Genomic DNA, 21,001 nt, shown 5'->3' on the forward strand with positions numbered 1-21,001 from the left:
GCTGCTAGCCAGCAAAATATCTGAAATCATCTGATGTTAGTTGATAGCCAGCAACAAATCTGAAATAATCTCAGATATTGAAGGTTTAAGAAACATAAATGAAAAAACCCCTTAAAAATGAGAAGTTTTTTTTGTTGATTTTTTTTTCGTTTGCAAATGAGAAAATTTCATATTTGATTTTAATGAAGGCACACCCTAGTCCAGGACACCAGTGTTCCTGAGGAACATGGTTTTGGAACCACTGATATTAATATTGTTTGTGTGTACTATGAAATTACTTTCTCTCTGCTTTCACTTACATTGTTTTCCTAGATAAAAACGTTCTCTTTTCTTTCCTGTCTTTTACTATTACTCATATGTTGTGGGCAATTAGAACATTCTATATTTAAAATATCTTTTCCAAATTCTTTATAATGATCCTGTATTAGCTTTATTATGATAAAAAAGCCTTATTAATTTTTCAAGGTCAATACAAGTCTTGTTTTTTCTGACACTGCACCCTATGCCTCAAATCCAGTTTTGTCCCCTGTCTCTTGAACTCCTACAGCAGTCATAGACTGTATGACGCATTTAGCCCCTTAATTATAGACTGTATTGAATTCATCACTAATTGTTGCATATATTAGCAAGATCATCCCGTTACATTTTTTTCCTGTGTGTCCAAAATTCTTAGCATAGTTTTAAGTACCTAGTAGATGCTTAGTAATGGCTTTCTGATGATAAACTAATCACATTTATGCATGAACACACATGAAACTAGCATGGATTTGATAGCAAGATATGCATAAAATAAAATATGACTAATAACCAGAGTAATCAGAATTTCATGACTTTTACCCTTACCTATTAATGATATAGGACCTCTAGCACCCTCATAAATGCCTCCCTCCAAGATTTATTCCGGGAGTCACCAAATTGTGTTTGATGTGTGCCCACTAATGCATTCCACTGCTACATGACACCTGTCTTTTTCTTCCTGTGCTGTTTGCTGCCTCTGCAGTTGCACGTTGGTACCTCCTGTCAGATATCAGAGGTCTGCCTCTTTGCCCGACACTACCATCTCCTTGGTCTTATGCTATCCTGCTAGATACATTGCTGATATTCAGGGACTGTTGATGTGTCCCAGCTCCTTTCTCCCCATGTATTATGTCTTGTGTGAGCATCAAAGCAGAGCTTATCACTTCGTTTTTAGTGAAAATCATTCTTTAGTTTCTTTGTTGTAGCTCCTCTGTCTCTGTTATGAGTTCTTGGAGCTGGGCTGGAGGAGCAAACCAAGTCTTTAGAAGGGACTGTGCTCAGGATCACTTCTCTTGTTCAAGGCTGTGTTTATGCCAAGTTCTTTTTTTTGAGACAGAGTCTTGCTCTTTCACTCAGGCTGGAGTGCAGTGGCACGATCTCCTCACTGCAGCCTCCTCCTCCTGGGTTCAAGTGATCCTCCCACCTCAGCCTCCCAAGTAGCTGGGACTACAGGCATGTACCACCATGCCCAGCTAATTTTTGTATTTTTAGTAGAAACAAGGTTTCATTATGTTGGCCAAGCTGGTCTTGAACTCCTGACCTCAGGTGATCCACCTGGCTCAGCCTCCCAAAGTGCTGGGATTACAGGCGTGAGCCACCAGGCCCAGCCAGTGGGACCAAGCTTTTCTGCCTCACATTAGCAGGGATGATTATTCCCCTAAAGTATTCTGTAGTCCCTCATACAAACATTCCTTGGGGTTACCAAATGTGACTCCTGGTGGCAGGGATGGTTTAGGTTCTAGCTTGCAATCCACTGTACCTGTAAAGTACAACAGGTAAAACATTACAATTCAAGAGTCTCAAAGTAGCAAATCATAACTCAGAGTATTATCTTGCCTCGCAGACAAAATAAAAACTTTACTTATTCTTGTTTTTTATGTCTGGTTGTAATAGAACCCAGTGTGAACTTTAAGCCTACAGAGAAAGGAGAAAAGACAAATGCACTGTATTTCATTAGTCAAATTGTGCAGTTCTTATTTCTGTAGCCCCTAAACTTGATTAAGCTCTTAGTTGAGCAGATATTGTACATTCTTACCCTCTTTTACAGGGCAGTTCTTTATTAATATTTTGTTATCTTCCTTTTGTCTGAAGATGTGTCTTTGATAGTAATTGGAACCAGACCTTGTCCAAGTTCCTAGCAGAAGTGTGGGTAGATAGGGGGAAAATCCCTATACCTAGGATTGAGCCTCAAGAGCTAAAGCAAGGTCAAGGGGGAAAGGGAAGAGACAGCAAAAATGGGGAGGTAAGGAGAACCAAGGACATAAAGCTTCCACAGCCAGGGTGATGAGGAATGAAAAGATGGCCTTCTCTACCTGGAATAGTTTGTGAAACAGTAAGAATAACAAAATGCTTGTGTTAGCTTTCTCTTGCTTTAAGTTTCCACTCATGTCTTTTTTTTTTTTTTTTTTTTTTTTGGTGAGTGCTTGAGCTTTAATCCAGTTCTGTGCACCTGAGATCATTTAAGGAAAATAATTTTTTGTAACCCAGAAATCATTTAAGAAAGATAATTTTTTTGTAACCCACCTAGATGTGATCTTGCCCTTGTGCAGTACTTAGTTGACAGTGACTACTCAAGTAGGTACTGTTGACTGTCAACTCCTTAGGGATTCAGGTACTTGATTGCCAGCTCCTCGGAGGGTGAGCTAGGAGTAGGAGACCCAAGACACCACTGCAGAGCAGTGGGAATAAATGGGGTAGAGAGAGGTAATGAAATATCACTAGGACAGTTGTCACCGGACATAGAATTCCCTTGACTTAGTTTACTGAGTCCTGCTTTGAAATCTAGAAATAGAAAACAACCAGGAATGGGGATAACTGGAGAAATGCTCCCTTAGATCTCTTTGCCGGGACCTCATCATGATCTAGAGATACAGGAGTCCTTGCTCTTTTCCCAGAGAGTCTTAGCTTTTGAGCAGCAGAATCAGGAGTTAATCTAGGACTCTCTCTGCTCCCAGACTCATGTATTCACCACTACACTGGGATGGTTTTTTTTTTTTTAAACAGTCATTTGTTTATTGTTTGCCTAAGTGCATTTGTTTTTGTAAGCTCTCATTCCCCATACAAAGTATATGAAAATTGCATTGTAGTGATTTTCACCCACTTTCACTGATTGGCAGCTTCAAGCACTAACCTTGAAGCTTAATTTGATGCTTAATGTTGGAGCAGGAGCAATATGACCACAGAATTCTGGTATTGTTGATTGGCTCTGCTTGCTTTGGTAGAGTCAACTTAATTCAGTCCATTAAAAGTTTTAAGTCTAGTAAGATTTTGAATCTCTTTAATTCTGTGTACACAAATGCTCCATATTATTTATTGTATGAAATTCAGATTCACTGTTCTTTTGTAGTTAAAATAGTTTGCCTAGAATGAATAATGATCACCCAAAATTTATTCTGCATACCAAAATAATTAAGATAATTTTTATCTCATTTAATTAATATTACTGTTAATTCTCATTAGCCTTAAAAGTAACTTACTAGAAAAATAACCTAAAATGTTAAATAAGAAATAGTAAGATTGCTACCTTAAGGCCTTAGAAGGCAAAATGGAAAAATTCCACAGATTTACCTTTGGAAATTATGTTAAGTCCTGAAATTTTGAGTTCTATTTTGAGTTACTTTTAGGCTCATTACTATGCAGGATTCTGTTTGGGGAATACTGAGCATTTTGTGTCTTACAGAATTTCTTTTTGTATAGTTATGTCTTATTACACTTCTGAATGGGGGGGCTCAATACATTTTAAGGACTTTTTCATACACACACACACACGCGCACAGACACACACACGTAATAAAAAGCCAAATATATATGTCAAACAATTTTTTTCTTTTGCAGAATTAAATGTGAGGGAGTCTGACGTAAGAGTTTGTGATGAGTCATCATGTAAATATGGAGGAGTCTGTAAAGAAGATGGAGATGGTTTGAAATGTGCATGCCAATTTCAGGTGAGGAAACCCAGCCTATTTTGAAAAGTTTTATATTCTTCGTATTTTATAATTCTAAATTCTTCAAATTAAAAAACCTAAAACACCTTGAACCCCATAAAGAAATTGGGGTCACAGCCCCTCAGTTCTTTTTTGTCAGATGATGCCCTGTTATTTGTATCTTCCATACTGCTTGCATGGAATTGAGAGGACAGATTGACAATAATAGATGTGACAATTCTTTGAAAAAAATGTCAAATTTCTATTTAAATGTAAGGTATAATTGTCACTGAAAGGAAAGAGGTACAGGTTGAACTAGAGTCTCTTATTTTAAATGTTGGCATCTTTTTCCTTTTCTTCTCCTTCTAGTCTGTCTCTTTCCCTTCCATTCTTATTTGTTGCTGTCTCATCTCTTCAGGCCACAGAACTTGACTGACTTGGAGACTCGGGGTAAGTCAAGGTTAGAGCTCGAATAGCAAGTGGAACCTCAAACTAAGAGTGTAAATATTTTTGCTTTTCAGATGCTCTTTTAGTTGTGATTCTGTTGTCTAAAAAAGTAAAACAAGGGAAATAGTTATATTTAATTCTTTCTTTTTATTTTCTGTGGTTAAATGGTAATCAGACTTCAGAATGTTTCTTACAAGATGGTCTCTGATGGTTGATTTGATATGAGGCGAAAAAGGAACTAGAATTTTTTTTCCACTCACAATTTTATTCTAAACGTACCCACCATTTGGGTTTTGAGGGGAAGAAAGGGCACAGAAATCAGAAACGAAAGCATAGGAGAGTTAGTATTTCTGGTAACCCTGTGACCTCAGGCAAATTTCTGTATGAGCTCAGGTAATTTTCTTGGCATCAGTATTCTATCTGAAAAGTGAAGGCACGTTTCCTACCCTTACTTATGATACTGTAAATGAGAATCAAAATTGGAAAGAAAGCTTGCATATGAAACATCTTTGAAAACTGTAAACCATCAGGTGGTTTATTTTAATTAAAAGAAGTGGAGAGTTTAGGTAAAGGAGGAAGGGTATGTAGGTATACTGTTGTCCAGCCAGTTTCTTCATGGTTGAAAGGGGCTTTACATTCAATTACGTAGAATGATAGGAGGGTTTCTCTTGGGCATTTTTATATCAGCCACCTTCTGCCAAGCTTTCTTAGGTAGCTTTTGGCTGGCTTCAGATCCCTGCTGCCTGTTGGCTGGAGACATCATTTCTTTGCCAAGAGCACCTTTCCATAGAGCTCTGCATAGCATGGAAGGTGACTTTAGCCAGAATGAAATGAGAAGTCGGTGATAATTTGAACTGTTTTCCCCCTGAACCTAATGTGTCATTTTTCTCTGACTGCTTTCAAGATTTTTTCCTTACTGTTTTTGACTATTAAGTACTGTGGTATGGTTTTTCTTGAACTTATCATGCTTGGGGTTGGCAGAACTTCTGAAATCTATTTGTTACTCAGTTTAAGAAATATTTTGTCATTATTTCTTAAAATTTTTTTTCTGCTTATTATTTCTTATAATCTGGGACTTCCATGATGTGTTAGACCTTTTGATACTGTCTCAAGGTCCCTGATACTCTGTTCATTTTTTTCCCAAATTTTTTCCTGTTCTTTACATTAGATAATTTTTATTGATCTGTCTTCAGGTTCACTAATCCTTTCTTCTGTCATCTCCATTCTTCCCATCCAGTGAGTTTTTAATTGTAGATTTTTTATGTTTAGAATTTACAGTTTCTGTTTACCTGCTGGGATTTCCTCTTTTCATTCACTGTAAGCATATTTTCCTTGAGCATAGATGTTATTGCCGCTTTAAAATATGTCTGCTAATGTCCATATCTAGGACATCCTCAGGTATTGCCTCTGTTGATTGTTTTCTCATGTGAGAATGGACCATATTTTCCTGTTTCTTCACATTAGAGTAACTTTGAATTTATCCTATACATTGTGAATCATATGTTTTAGAGTGTGTGAGTTTTGTTATGTTCCTTTGAAGATTATTGTTATTTTTGAAACCGTTGGCTGAATTCAAACTGCAGATTCTGCCTTACTTGTGGTGGGCAGCAACACAAGTATCAATTCATTTCTTTTAGCCTCACTGGGGCTACTTGGAGTCTGCCCCATGTGTGGTTTAGGGGTCTGCCAGAAACGTGCTCTGAGTTTATACGCGGAAACTGGGACTCCCCTCGAACTCTCTCCTTTCCGAGATTTCCCTCTCACTTTTTAGTGGCTGTGATTGTCCTCAAGTCTGTTATCTGGTTCATTAAAAGAAAGGTGGTGGGTTTTGTTGTTGAAGATTTAGTCATCCTGTGTGGGGAAGACCGGGGCTGTTCTCCTCTTCAGCTGCTGTGTTTCCTTAGGTTAAATTCCTTGAGGTGGAATTGTTGGGCCAGTGGATACTCATGTGCAGATTAACATTATCACCAATAGCCTCATATCAGATGTCCTGTTTCCCCTCAACCTTTTGATAGTGGATTTTGTTGGTCCTTTTAAATTTACAAATCTGAAAGGCAAAAACAATTTTTATTTGCATTTGATTACTAGAGAAATTGAAAATGTGCTGTATATTTGTTACCATTTTTTTTTGTGAATTAATATTTCATATTCTGTGTCTAGTTTCTGGGGTATTTTCTTTTTCCCTCATGTTGATTTGTAAAGACATGTGTATGCATATATACATACTCTGTGCAATACAATATTGGAATATATATATATTGCTTACTATGCTGAGCATTTGATATTCATTAACTCATAAACTCTCAAGAGAACCTGCTGCTTTGATTTATTTATTTATTTTTATTTATTTATTATTATTTTTTGAGATGGAGCCTCGCTCTGTTGCCAGGCTGGAGTGCAGTGGTGCGATCGTGGCTCACTGCAACCTCCGCCTCCCGGGTTCAAATGATTCTCCTGCCTCAGCCTCCCTAGTAACTGGGACTGCAGGTGCATGCCACCACACCCAGCTAATTTTTGTGTTTTTAGTAGAGACGGGATTTCACCATGTTGGCCAGGATGGTCTCGAACTCTTGACCTCGTGAACCGCCTGCCTTGGCCTCCCAAAGTGCTGGGATTACAGGCATGAGCCACCGCGCCTGGCTACTTTGATTTATTTTTAAAAAGAGTAATGTATGCCCATAGTAAACAACTTGAACAATATAAGAAGATATGTAGCAAAAAAAGCTTCCACTCCAGACTGTCAACTCTTCTCAAAGGCAACATCTGTTACTTCTTGCATTTCCTTCTAGAAGTATTTTGTGTGTATATAAATTTGTTTAATTCCCCTTTTAAATATTAAATCATTTAATAGTATTTATCTTGGAGATTGTTCCTTTCCAGGAACAATAGATTCCAAAGAACTCTATATTTTAAAGAAGTTATCCTAATTTCATTTTTTTGTTTTTCTTTTTAACACTATGTATTTTTAATTGACAAAAATAATTGTATATCTTAGTTTCATTTTCATTTTGTTTATATTTTAGACACAAAGAAATTTCAGATTTTCACCTTATATTTATCTGTCTTTTTTTTTGTTTGAGACGGGGTCTCACTCTGTTGCCTAGGCGGGAGTGCAGTGACACAATCATAGCTTACTGTAGCCTTGACCTCCTGGGCTCAAATGATCTTCCCACCCCAGCCTCCTGAGTAGCTGGGACAGCAGGTGTGCATCACCACACCTGGCTGATTAAAAAAATTTTTTTTTGTAGCGCCAAGACCTCTAGGTTGCCCAGACTGGTCTTGAACTCCTGGGCTCAAGCAGTCTTCCCACCTTGGCGTCCCAAAGTGCTGGGATTACGGGTATGAGCTGCTATGCCCAGCCCTGCTTTTCTTCATTTTTTGAGAAAAGTATTTCCCTGAAACTCTAAGATTATAAAGAAATAGCCTTTTTGACGTTTTAAAAAATATACTTGAACAGCTAGAAAATCCTTCCATGATCTGTCTGAATTCCTTGCATTTTTACCTTGTGGCAAAGCAGGGAAGGAAAATATGTTGGGAGTTGACACCATTAGACATTTATCCAGTGCTTACTTGTGCTGGGTATGAGACTAGATGCTGAGGATGTAAAGATGTTTAAAGACTGGTTCCTTGCCTTGTAGGAGCAAACTGCCTCAGGGCTTACAGTATAGTTTGATCTTGCTGCCGAGTGAACCTTCCTTTGACCATTCTGCCTTCCTTTATAAGATTATAAATCTGTTCAGGGTAGACTTAGGTTATTGCCAGCTTAAAAATAATGACCTGACATGCCCATTAAACCCTTCTCTGCTGGATGCTTTAGCAGTATCTTTCAATTCATTTTAAAAACTTGCTTATGATTCAGCATGCTTTTAGTGCTAAATAGAAGCTTTCTGGGACATTATTTAAATACATTTTAACAGATAACAGGATTTTAAATAAAAATTCAAATTGTTTTTTTTTTTAGTCTGCTAATAAGAGCTATTATCTTGCCACACATATAAACAAAGCCACTTTTGCTAATTTGGTATATAGAAACATGATTAATACTGCATCTTTCCCTGAAAACTTTGTATAGAGTACAGTCTATGACTTTTTTTCCTGTTTTCTTTCTTCATCTTTGTTCTGGCATTCTCTGAACTATGTGTCTTTCTTCCTGTATTTATCAATGTCTGCTCTTGCTAGGTGCCATGCCCTCTTATTAGACCCTTTATTAGTCACAGTTCTCCAGAGAAACAGAAACACACACACACACACACACACACACACACACACACACACACGAATGTGAGAGCGAGCGAGCAATAAGGAATTAGCTCATTTGATTATGGAGGCTGAGAAGTCCTACAGTCCGTCATCTGTATACTAGCCCAGGAAAGCCAGTGGTACAAGTCCCTATCTGAGACTGAAGGCCTGGGCACCAGGAGAAGATCGATGTCCTAGCTTAAGCGGTCAAGCAAAAGGAGAGAAGAATTCTATTCAGTTCTTCAGTGGATTGAATAGTGCCCACTCACACTGGGGAGGGCAGTCTGCTTTACTTGATCCACTGATGCAAATATTAATCTCATCTAGAAATTCCTTCACAGATAAACCCAGAAATGATGTTTAGTCTGGGCACCATGGGGCCCAGTCAAGTTGACATAGAAAATTAATCATCACAACCTTGTTATTATTTTCTACTTGCTGTATTCAGCATAGTTCCTGACACACAGTAGGTACACAATAAATGCTTGAATGGATGCAGTTCCAGAGTCGTACACTGCTCCATCTTTCTAAACTACTTGAAATAGCTGGCAACATCATCACATTCTTCTAGCTAAAGAAAAGGTACAGGGGAGAGTTCTTCCTCCCAACAAGGGTGGCAATATAGAGGAGCAGACTTTAGGTTAGACTTAGAATCCACCATCAGTGCATAAGTCAGAAATCGCATGTTGTTAAAATTGTCCAAATCCCATAATTTGTCCATTAGCATAATTAGAGGCTTCCAGGAGAGACCCATGGAAACTGAGAATGACCAACAGCAGGTCTACTTCTCCCATCTCACACTCACTCCTAGGTATATGCTTGTGAGGGTGAATTTCAGAGACATTAAGTCCTCTGCTCAGTGTCACCAAGTGACAGATGGCAATACACCACTGACTTAACTTGAGTGTGTAGTGGTTAAAATACATCATATGGGAGGAATTGTGGCTCTTCCACTTATTAGTGACTATTGGCAAATACTTACGACTGAGAAATGATACTAGCAATAGCAAAATAGCTAATGTTTATTGAGAATGTACCATGGTCAGATAGAAATGCCAAAGGTAGATTATCTTATTTAATCTTCATAACAACTTTGTTAGGTAGGTAGTATTATAATCACCGTTGTACACCATTGAACATGGTGATGGTGCTAGCCCATAGTCACATGGTTGGTGGGCCCAGGATTTGAATTCAAACATTTTTGGCTTTATAGCCTTAGCTCTAAGCATTCAACCATGTGCTTCACATGGTTTATGATATTTAAGTTAGGACACTTAAAGTTGTAGACTAATGCTTCCTGGATAAAAAATGTGAAGATTCTCAGCCCTATCAGAATTAATGCTTCATTTTAATATTCAGTTTCTTTACTATCCTTAGAAGAAATTCACGGATAAATTAACCTACATAAACACATGATTAAAGAAATGAATTTAATGCATGATTGCAATGTAAAGGAGAAATAAAAGTAATTTATAATAAAATAAATATTTCAGAATGTAAATGCTTAGGTATGATTACCATAGAAGAAAATACAGTCATCAGATGTTTGTGTCTGCTTATGATAAATGTTTGGATTAAAAAAATTAAAAGCAGGTCGGGCGCGGTGGCTCATGCCTGTAATCCCAGCACTTTGGGAGGCCGAGGTGGGCGGATCACGAGGTCAGGAGTTCAAGACCATCCTGGCCAACATGGTGAAACCCCGTCTCTACTAAAAATACAAAAATTGGCTGGGCATGGTGGTGTGTGCCTGTAATCCCAGCTACTTGGGAGGCTGAGGCAGGAGAATTGCATGAACCTGGGAGGCGGAGATAGCAGTGAGCCTAGATTGCACCACTGCACTCCAACCTGGCGACAGACCTAGACCCTGTCTCAAAAAAAAAAAAAAAAAAAAAAAAAAAAAAACAACTAAAAGCAATTTCATACCAGGAGTACATGAAACAAAAATGTAGATGTCTAGTAGATGCTAGAATAAAAACCAATATTAGGATAAGTTATAACAGATCAGACTGATTTGTAGTATTAAGGAAAGTCTTGTCAAAATTCCTACATGAATAGCCAGAGAGACATTCAGAAGTTGTGTGGTACTTGCTTTTGTTGTATGGAACTGTCCTTTCCTTTGCAGTACTTCAGGCATCCTTGGAATCTATCTGGTAAATTACAGTAATGTCCGTCTGTCAATGTGACAACCAAAAATGCCTCCACAGGGACAGCCACCCCTAGGGGGCGATATTGGCACCTTTGTGAACACAACACTACGTTAGAAAGTAAGCATTTGTTGAGGAATGAAGTGGGATTGGAAAGTTCATAGATTTAGCACTTGATATCTTGGAGCTCATAGTAGTTTCCTTGGCTAATTGAGTATTGTATAATTACAAAGTAACATTGACTTATGTAGACATCATACTAGGTATTGTGTAAATTTTAGGGAAAGAGAAGAAAGCAATGTGATCCATGAAAAACTGGAGGAATATATATAATAGGGAGGCTTCCTAAAATAAAAATATAATTTTAAGAAAAGTTGGTGTAAGATTCTGCTGATACTGAATGTATAACAAAGTCGACTAGGTTATAAAATATTTTACTAGAAGTTGTTTTTACCAGTGCTTGACCTGTGGTAGCATGCCATATGTATGCTTCATAAAGTAAATCTGATCACTTTTTAAAAGTAGATAAATGATAAAAGTAAGTCTTGCTCATTGAAGAAAAATAGAGAAATATGGAAAATCTTAAATAGGGAACTGGGAAACCATGAAGACAGGTAATGTGAAAAATTTGTTGACATTTTATTCCAGGACTTATTTTACATGTATTCATTTTTTTCTAAATGGGCTATAAATATACTTTATTTTCTTGCTATATTTTATTTTATATTATCATATTATTTAAAACATTTACAGTTAGCTTTGTGGAATACATAATACGTTTAAAAATAGTACAGAATTCAGGCCAGGCGCAGTGGCTTACGCCTGTAATCCCAGCACTTTGGGAGGCCGAGGCGGGCGGATCACAGGGTCAGGAGATCGAGACCATCCTGGCTAACACAGTGAAACCCCGTCTCTACTAAAAATACAAAAAAAATTAGCCGGACGTGGTGGCGGGCGCCTGTAGTCCCAGCTACTCGGGAGGCTGAGGCAGGAGAATGGCATGAACCCAGGAGGTGGAGCTTCCAGTGAGCCGAGACCATGCCACTGCTCTCCAGCCTAGGCGACAGAGCGAGACTCCATCTCAAAAAAAAAAAAAAAAAAAAAAGTACAGAATTCCCAGAAATTATATATGTGCTTTTTGCCTAACTTTGTTAGCTTTTCTTGTCACACAATATATTTTTTAAAGGTAATTCTTTTTTACAATTACTATTTTTAAACTTCAGCTTTTATTTTAGTTTCAAGGGCTACATGTGTAGGTAGATGGGTTTATTGCTGATCCTGCCACCCAGGTAGTGAGTATAGTACCTAATAGGTAGTTTTTCAGTGCTTGCCTTTCTCCCTCTCTCCCCACTGTAGTAGTGTCCAGTGTCTGTTGTTCCCATCTTTATGTCCATGTGTATCCAATGTTTACCTAACACTAATGAGAGCATGAGGTATTTGGTTTTCTGTTCCTCAGTTAGGATATTGGCCTCCAGCTGCATCCATGTTGCTGCAGAGGACATTATTTCATTCTTTTTTATGGTTGTGTAGTATTCCTTGGTGTATATATACCACATGTTCTTTATCAAATTCACCATTGTTGGGCACCTAGATTGATTCCATGTCTTTGTTATTGTGAATAGTGCTGCGATGAACATATGGGTGCATGTGTCTTTTTGGTAGAATGATTGATTTTCCTTTGGGTACCTACCCAGTAATGAGATTGCTGGGTTGAATGGTAGTTCTGTTTTAAGTTCTTTGAGAAATCTCCAAACTGCTCTCCACAGTGGCTGAGCTAATTTACATTCCCACCTGTGTAGCATTCCCTTTTCTTTGCAGTCCCACAAGCATCTGTTATTTTGACTTTTTAATAATAGCCATTTTGACTCTTGTGAGATGGTGTTTTCTTGTGGTTTTGATTTGCATTTCTCTGGTGGTTAGTGATGTTGAGCATTTTTTCATGTTTATTGGTCACTTGTATGTCTTCTTTTGAGAAGTGTCTGTTCATGTCCTTTGCCCTATTTTTAATGGAATTATTTGCCTTTTGCTTGTTGGATTGTTTAAGTTCAAAAGGTAATTCTTAATGACTGCAATATTAATTTCTTGAACAGTTATACTTCAATTAAACATTGTCTTGTTAGATATTAAGATTTTTAGGTTATTGATATTATAAATTTCTGTTGGAAATGGCTGTAATAAATGTTTGTCTACAAGTTTCTGTCACATTGATTTCTAAATGTGTAATTCTGGATCAAAAACTGTATTCCTTTTTTTAGGATTCTTGAAACATATTCTTTAATTATGTTACCCCAAAGTAGAACCAAAACTGGTGTAGTGGGATGTCCACCTAATTGAATTTTTTAATAGCCAATTTTATAAGTTGGAAATAGCATCTCATCTTAGTGGACAACCCTGATTGCTAGTGAAGATCAATAATATTTTATGCATTAACTGGCCATTTGTAATTTTTCTGTAAACACTTCATGTCTGTCTTTGGTCCCGTTTTTATTAATTTGTATGATCTATTTTTTAAGTAATAATAACTTGTATCATATTGTTATAACATTTTCCCCAGATTTTAAAACTTTAGTCATTTATGATATTTCTAACATGTAGATGTTTTCAGGTTTTCCTACATGCAGGTCCAGTGTCATTTCTCAAACCTGTATTACCTTTTTTCTTCTTCACCTGTCTTATTTCTACTCATCTTTCAGGGCTCAGTTCATATTCCACTTTCTCTGAGGATGCTTTTCTTGAATACTTCAGCTTACAATAATAGGTATTAGGCATCACATGCTTACTGATTTGGTACATGATCTAGCTTTGCAGTATTGGTTTTTTTTCCTACTCGTATGACTCTCTGACAAGATTGTAAGGTTTCCAAGAACAGAGATCATCCTATATTTCTTTGTGTCTTCTGTACCATTTACCTTGGGACTTTGCCTACTAGATGTTTTGAATAATGATTTTTTTCTATTTTTATGATTAGGTTTGAATGAATAAATGAATTTTGATAATAATAAAATGCTATTACATAAGTAGCACTCTTTACATTGTCAATAATTTCCTCTTATTACCTTGGTGGTTTTTCATAGCAAGCAAATGAAGTAGATAGAGATTTTCATTCTCATTTTTTTGGATAGTTGGTAGTTATTTTCCTTATGAATGTGAAAAAAGGTATGAAGAAGTAGCATAATTCTTTTTAAGCCAAAAAAAAAAAAAAACCCCAGACTATTCAGTAGCGAAGTATGTCATAATGCTATGGTATTGCATTCATGAATGTGAAATAAACTATTAATATTCATGCCTAGTTCTGAGAATTTATTTTTGTTGCTTTTGCAGTGCCATACAAATTATATTCCTGTCTGTGGATCAAATGGGGACACTTATCAAAATGAATGCTTTCTCAGAAGGGCTGCTTGTAAGCACCAGAAAGAGATAACAGTAATAGCAAGAGGACCATGCTACTCTGGTATGTATGATATTCTTCTGAATAAATTTTGGAAAATATGGTGGAATCATTTCTAAAAGGGGGTTTTGAGTCAGAGGTATATTTCCACAACTGCTGTGTGGATTGGTGGTGGTTGTTGCGGGGAGTAGGGGAAATCTTTTTTGCCCTCATTTCAGGTTGTTGCTTTTCAACCCCAGGTGGTCTTGTATAGACTTATGTTACTCCTTACTACATTGTTAAGGCTTAACACTCTTTTTATAGGGACTTACTTTCTTTGCATGTCCTTTGCCTTATGATTTGAACAGTAGACAGAATGAGCTTTGAGGTGGGGAATGATAGGGGATCTGTCTTGATGATTTTTTAAAAAGAGGTGAGGAAGGTCGGGTGCGGTGGCTCACGCCTGTAATCCCAGCACTTTGGGAGGCTGAGGCGGGCAGATTACGAGGTCAGGAGATTGAGACCATCCTGGCTAACACAGTGAAACCCCGTCTCTACTAAAAAATACAAAAAATTAGCTGGGTGTGGTGGCGGGCACCTGTAGTCCCAGCTACTCGGGAGGCTGAGGCAGGAGAATGGCGTGAACCCAGGAGGTGGAGCTTGCAGTGAGCCAAGATCGCACCACTGTGCTCCAGCCTGGGCGACAGAGCAAGACTCCATCTCAGAAAAAAAAAAAAAAAAGGTGAGGAATTTCTGTAGAAAGTCATTAGCAGTATCACAGATTGTTGCTTTCCAAGTTTTTTCTCTGCCACCTGTTCATCCCATGCTGTTTGTATTTACTTCATCTTTTTTTTCCTTCCAGAATTGGTAGTGGTTGATTTGGGGAACTATTAATGTTATTTTCTTGTGTTTGTATTAATGTTTGGGGATAGAGATGCCGGTGAGGTAACTTGAATTATTATATCAAGGTTAGTGGTAAAGGTGAAGGCCATTCTTAGGGGATTTCCACTTCCTTTCTTTCCCTATATATTACAGTGTTCAGAAATTCTCCATTTTACTAAATGTGACAATTTTAGGGTCAACTACAAAGTCAAAGGGGACAGTCTCCAAGGCTGTTCTCACTTCTGACACCAGCTGAGATCAAGAGGTTCCCCAGCTAACCCTAGGCTCAGTAATTTGCTAGAAGGGCTAACAGACTCACTGACAGCTGTTATATGCGTGGTTATGAAGGGAGAGGATACATGTTAAAATCAACCAAAGAAAGAGATGCCCAGAAGATTCTGGGAAGGTTCCAAACATGGAGTTGCTGATTTTTCTTTCCCAGTGGAGGCATGGACAGAGTTAACTCCTCCTAGTTACAGTATGTGGCAGTGCACATGGAGTATTGCCAGCCAGGAAAGCTTGCCTGAGCATCAGTGTTCATAGTTTTTTCTTTATGAGACTGCATCTCACTCTGTTCCTCAGGCTGGAGTGCAGTGGCACGATCATGACTCACTGCAGCCTTGACCTCCCAGGCTCAAGGGATCCTCCCACCTCCGTCTCCTGAGTAGCTGGGACTACAGACACATGCCAACATGCCAGGTTCATTTTTTTTTTGTATTTTTTGTAGGGACAGGGTTTTGCCATGTTGCCCAGGCTAGTCTTGAACTTGTGAGCTCAAGCAATTTGCCTGCCTTGGCCTCTCAAAGTGCTGGGATTACAGGTGTGAGCCATTGTACCCTGATATTCATAGTTTTTATTGGGGCTCATTATGTAAGTATAATTTGATGAGTTGGTTGTGTGGTTAATTGAAGACTCTGGGTCCACTAATACTGTGACCTGTAACCCCTACTCTACTCTTCATGATTGGTCTTTCTAGTGTAACCAGCCCCAACCCTAAGACTTAGACGTGGCCCAACCCCCAACACTAAGTTCCAGTGTGGTCAGCACCCTCCCTTAACAAATATCCTTCTATCAGGTATGACGTAGGTTACCTTCCGGAAGCAGAGGGAAAAGACGAGACCTCTCTTGTAGGAAGGCCAAATTCTTTCTATACACACTAAAATAATCACGTGCTTGGAGAAATTATTATGTTTTTAGTCTAGTAGACTATGATTTGGTGTGGTTCTTATATACTTCTTTAAGTACATTGTGTTTCACAAAATGATCTAGAAATTAAAGAGGAATATGGAGGTTCTTTCCAGTCTCAAATTATGTTTCACTTATGAGGAGCATATGTCTAAGACAGCAAGTGTTAACACCTAATGTTAAACATTAGGCAGCAAAGTGGTAGATTGGGAGCACTGTGCTAGGGTTACAAGACCTCGCCTTAACCTAACTCCAACCCTTATTTACTGTGTGACCTTGGACAAATCACTAAGCCTCTCTGAGCCCCAATTCCTTAACTTGTTAAGTGGATATTATCTCCTGGGGTTGTTAAATAAGGATTGAATGAGCAAAGTTATAAGCTGCTATATTGATTTTATTTTCTGAGTGGGCAGTGTTTTATGTTATTTGGTCTTTTGTGGATCCTATTCCTTGAACTAGAAATACTATTCTCTTTTCCTTATTTGAAAACTCTTTTTCTTATGCTTAAGGTTGGTCTTAAGCCTTTTCTCCTCTGTGAAATCTTCCTTCTGTGACATCTCCTGGCAGAGTTTGTTTATACCTTGGGTGTATTTCTATACATATACCATATTGTATTTCATTCATCTGACATAAGTACCTCCAGCCAAATCAGTGCTTTCTCAGTGGGGAGGTACTGTCTTACCTAGGGATGTGTATCGTAATCTCAGGGTGGGACGGAATCGTGTAGGTTGGGGCAATGCGTACCATTTACAAAATATAACATACAGGGAGAATTCTACCTTGTTATCAGAGTAGCCACAGTATTTAATTTATTTAAGGATTCTAAATGACGAAGGTATGAGATTTTTATATTTATTAAAAGTAGACATGGTTTGAAAAAAAGATTGGGAGTAGTATCTTGTGTACTGGGAATATGTCTTATTTATCATTTTATTCCTCGCATTTACCATGGTGCCTGGCACATAATATGTAACCAATCATTGTATGTGGAATCGAAGTAATAAAGGGGTGTTTTCCTAAGAAGAGTTTGGTCATAAAAACAATTTTGAGTTTCCTCCCTCGCTGTCTTTTTTTCTGTTCCATCACTCTTTCATTTCCTCCTTATTTACTCAGAGAAAATGTCATTTTGTGGTTGATTAATCAAAATTGAACATAATTTAAGACTTTCCATAAAATCCCATGAAGATTTTACAATGGGTACTGCATACAATATATATTTTTCTAATTCCTCCTGTTTCTGTGGTATCTGGGAATTTGATTATTGTCCGAAGGAGCTTGAAGGGAAGGGAACAATATTGTTCTGAGTGTTGTTTTCTGCTCTAGAGGACAATTTGGAGAGCTAGCATGGGTTCTTTAGGATCCAGGGTATCCTCTCCCCTGGCAAGTGCTAGATAAAGCATCAAATTCCTCACTTGCTCTCTCTGCTTTTTAAAATGACTCTGTGCTGATGATTTTACATCATTACCCTCTTTTCAACATGTTCTGTGCTAATATGTTGGTTCCTTTAGGATTATAGAATAAATATTTTACATTAATTGTACTTGAGACTGGCTTCTTTCTGGTAACTTTGATGAAGGCTCTTTTTAATTTCACTAGCGACAAGTCAGGTAAGTCCTTCGGATTGGATTTCCTAGAGGAAGTTAATTTTATTAGTAACATGAAAACCTCAAGCCTTTGGTTCCTTGCTTCCTAAACCTTGGGGCTTTTCTTACCTTTTGGCTTTTGGTCTTTATCCGCAGATTTCCTTAAGAAGATTTTTTTTTTTGTAGTAAGACCCAAAGCTCTTTTCCTGCCTTTCTAATAAAAGCAGCTTATTCATTATTTCTCTCAAGCTTTAACAAAAACTAAAATTTTCTCTTATCTTTTAAATGAGTGGATTAAAATTAATTATTTATATTTAGCCTTTTACTTTACAGTATTTATTGTCTTTACTCTGTGCAAAGCATCTGGGTATGTCCTTAATGGGATACAAAGATGTATGAAATATAGATGATTATGTATCTAAGCAATTTATATTTTAAGAGCAGCATAAAATAAGTATGTAAGAATAAATAAGATATCAAAAATATGAGAAAAGGACTCTTTGAGAATGGATATCACAGTTTTATTTTTGATAGGAAATTTTATTATTTGATAAGATGAAATTTCCGGGAAAAATGTTCATATTCATTCTTTGTTTTTCTTCTCAGATAATGGATCTGGATCTGGAGAAGGAGGTAAGTTTCAAGTACCTCTTAAAGGATATTTGCTTTTCTTTCTTTCTTTCTTTCTTTTTCTTTTTTTTTTTTTTTTTAAATCAGCTTTGAGATATAATTCACATACCATATAATTTGCCACTTGAAGTGTACAAATTCAGTGACTTTTAGTAAATTCACAGTTATATATTCATTAGGATATTCAGAGTTATATATTCATCACCACAGTCACTCTTAGAACATTTTAATAACCTCAAAAAGAAACCATGCACTCCTTAGCCATCACTCCTAACCCAACTCTCCCTCTCAGCTCTAGGCATTCTTGTTTCTTGCATTTTTCTCTGGAAGTTTATTGTCATACTAAGGGGAAGATGTTGTAGTTTCTGTTAAATTGAGGTTGCATCATCCCCACAAGTGATTTTAGCTTGGACCAGAGTATTTGTAACTCTTTCCCATACCTTGCTTTCAAGTTTTTGCTCATCAGGAATTTTCATGGTACAGGGTTAAAAACTCCAGAGGGAGTTGTGCATAGAAAAAGGAAGACTTGCCCAACAACTCTCGTGGAATTTAGAGTTTAATTTAAACCTTTAACAATTTCCTATCTATGTTTTTGATTTTATTTTACAAATATATGAATTATTTCTGTTGTTTAAAAGATTAATATTTGGTAATAGCATATAATGGAGTTTAAATGATCAGAATTGAGATTGACTAATCTATATCATAGTCTAATGAGGCTATAATTCTTAATGAGTATGTACTGTATACCAAATAATGTTTGAGATATTATGGGGTACACCAAAGAACACCCACTTCAGTACAATTCACACTTAATGCAAATGGAAACTACAGTTATGATCCTTTCAAAACTGCCTGAAACCTCACTCCATACGTCTACATTTCATAGAATCTTAAAATTTCAGAGTTGGAAGGGACTTTGAAGGTCTCCTGGAGAATAGGAGAACTGTCCTGAGGAGAAATTCAAGGATGACAGTTTCAGCTAAAAAAAAAAAAAATGATTAAAGCTTTCAAACAATAGAATTTGAAGTAGATGGACATGTTCAAGCAGAAGCTTTATAATCAGGTGTGAAGGATCAGATAATAAATTCCAGATCTTAGAGCTGGAACAGATTTTAGGCGATCATGTAGTCTAGCCCCTGTGGTCAGGTATTCAGTTAGGAAACTGTCATTGTCATTGTTCCTATATTAAAGAAGTGAGAGTTGATCTCAAGATTTGCTTATATAATACAATATTGGGCTGGGCGCAGTGGCTCATGCCTAAAATCCCAGAACTTTGGGAAGCTGAGATGGGAGGATCACTTGAGCCCAGGAGTTTGAAACCAGCCTGGGCAACATAGTGAGACCCTGTCTCTACCCCAAAAAAAAAAAAAAAAACAAAAGGCCGGGCACAGTGGCTCATGCCTGTAATCCCAGCACTTTGGGAGGCCGAGGCGGGCGGATCACCTGAGGTCAGGAGTTTGAGACCAGCCTGGCCAATGTGGTGAAACCCCGTCTCTACTAAAAATGCAAAAATTAGCCAGGCGTGGTGGTGGGCGCCTGTAATCCCAGCTACTCAGGAGGCTGAGGTAGGAGAATTGCTTGAACCCAGGAGACAGAGGTTGCAGTGAGCTGAGATTGCGCCACTGCACTCCAGCCTGGGGGACAGAGCGAGACTCCTTCTCAAAAAATAAAAAAATAAAAAAATTTAAAAAAGCCAGGTGTGGTGGTATGTAGTCTCAGCTACTTTGGAGGCTAAAGCGGGAGGATTGCTTGAGCCCAGGAGGTTGAGGCTGCAGTGAGTGGTGATCACGCCATTGCACCCTGTCTCAAACAAAACAAAACAAAAAATGCTGGATATCTTGCCCTGAGGATGTAGGTTGACCATTTTTAAAAAATTTTTTTTTGAGAGCATGAGTTAGAAGGGCTAAGTGGTTTGCCCCAGTTAATATACAGACCTTAGTGAGCTCATGGTAACTGTAGTATTTCTGAATATTATGATGTTTTGGGGCCTCAGAATTACTTAGGATGATAATCCCTGGTATCTGTTTGGGAGTATTCATGAGAGTTTAGGGGAATATTTCTATTTAAGGACAGGCAGACACCAAAAATTAGAAGTTCGGAAGCATTACCAAACAGGCATGGCAGATTTGTGTACCTTTTTTAACACTATCTTTATTATAAGACACCCCCTGAGGCCGGGTGTGGTGGCTCATGCCTGTAATCCCAGCGTTTTGGGAGACTGAGGTGGGCGGATCACAAGGTCAGGAGTTCAAGACCAGCCTGGCCAACATAGTGAAACCCCGTCTCTACTAAAAGTACAAAAATTAGCTGGGCATGGTGGTGTGAACCTGTAATCCTGGCTACTCAGGAGGCTGAGGCAGGAGAATCACTTGAACCCAGGAGGCAGAGGTTCAAGTGATTCTCCAGGCTGAGATTCATCCAGGCTGAGATTGCGCCACTGCATTCCAGCCTGAGACTCCGTCTGAAAAACAAACAAACAAAAAAAAAAGACACTCCCTGAATAGTACTCTTTTTCAAACCAAATTCGAGGGAAATCCCTTGAATGAACTGAAATCCTTAAGTTGATTTCAGAACTGATCT

The 21,001-nt window shown here is 37.9% G+C and overlaps 2 protein-coding genes across 2 annotated transcripts in view, besides 2 other annotated features; both read left to right on the forward strand.

Moving 5' to 3' along the window:
• MSANTD3-TMEFF1 (MSANTD3-TMEFF1 readthrough) overlaps nt 1–21,001 on the forward strand; it is a 135,731-nt gene that overhangs the window by 53,007 nt on the left and 61,723 nt on the right. Inside the window, exons 2-4 of the mRNA NM_001198812.1 lie at nt 3,853–3,962; nt 14,093–14,222; nt 18,395–18,421. Of these exons, the coding sequence (NP_001185741.1) occupies nt 3,853–3,962; nt 14,093–14,222; nt 18,395–18,421 (267 nt within the window). The remainder of the gene's footprint in view (nt 1–3,852; nt 3,963–14,092; nt 14,223–18,394; nt 18,422–21,001) is intronic.
• The window catches only part of TMEFF1 (transmembrane protein with EGF like and two follistatin like domains 1), a 104,488-nt gene that overhangs the window by 21,764 nt on the left and 61,723 nt on the right, over nt 1–21,001 (forward strand). Inside the window, exons 2-4 of the mRNA NM_003692.5 lie at nt 3,853–3,962; nt 14,093–14,222; nt 18,395–18,421. Coding sequence (NP_003683.2) covers nt 3,853–3,962; nt 14,093–14,222; nt 18,395–18,421 — 267 coding nt within the window. The remainder of the gene's footprint in view (nt 1–3,852; nt 3,963–14,092; nt 14,223–18,394; nt 18,422–21,001) is intronic.
• Nucleotides 19,470–19,970: an enhancer, noted in NCBI's record as "H3K27ac hESC enhancer chr9:103276664-103277164 (GRCh37/hg19 assembly coordinates)". NCBI's record gives its function as "activates a minimal SCP1, AML or CMV promoter by ChIP-STARR-seq in primed H9 embryonic stem cells {active_cell/tissue: H9 hESC(primed)}" and the evidence as "EXISTENCE:reporter gene assay evidence [ECO:0000049][PMID:30033119]".
• Nucleotides 19,971–20,471: an enhancer, noted in NCBI's record as "H3K27ac hESC enhancer chr9:103277165-103277665 (GRCh37/hg19 assembly coordinates)". NCBI's record gives its function as "activates a minimal SCP1, AML or CMV promoter by ChIP-STARR-seq in primed H9 embryonic stem cells {active_cell/tissue: H9 hESC(primed)}" and the evidence as "EXISTENCE:reporter gene assay evidence [ECO:0000049][PMID:30033119]".

Source organism: Homo sapiens, chromosome 9 (genome assembly GCF_000001405.40).
Source record: "Homo sapiens chromosome 9, GRCh38.p14 Primary Assembly".
NCBI classification, from domain to species: domain Eukaryota; kingdom Metazoa; phylum Chordata; class Mammalia; order Primates; family Hominidae; genus Homo; species Homo sapiens.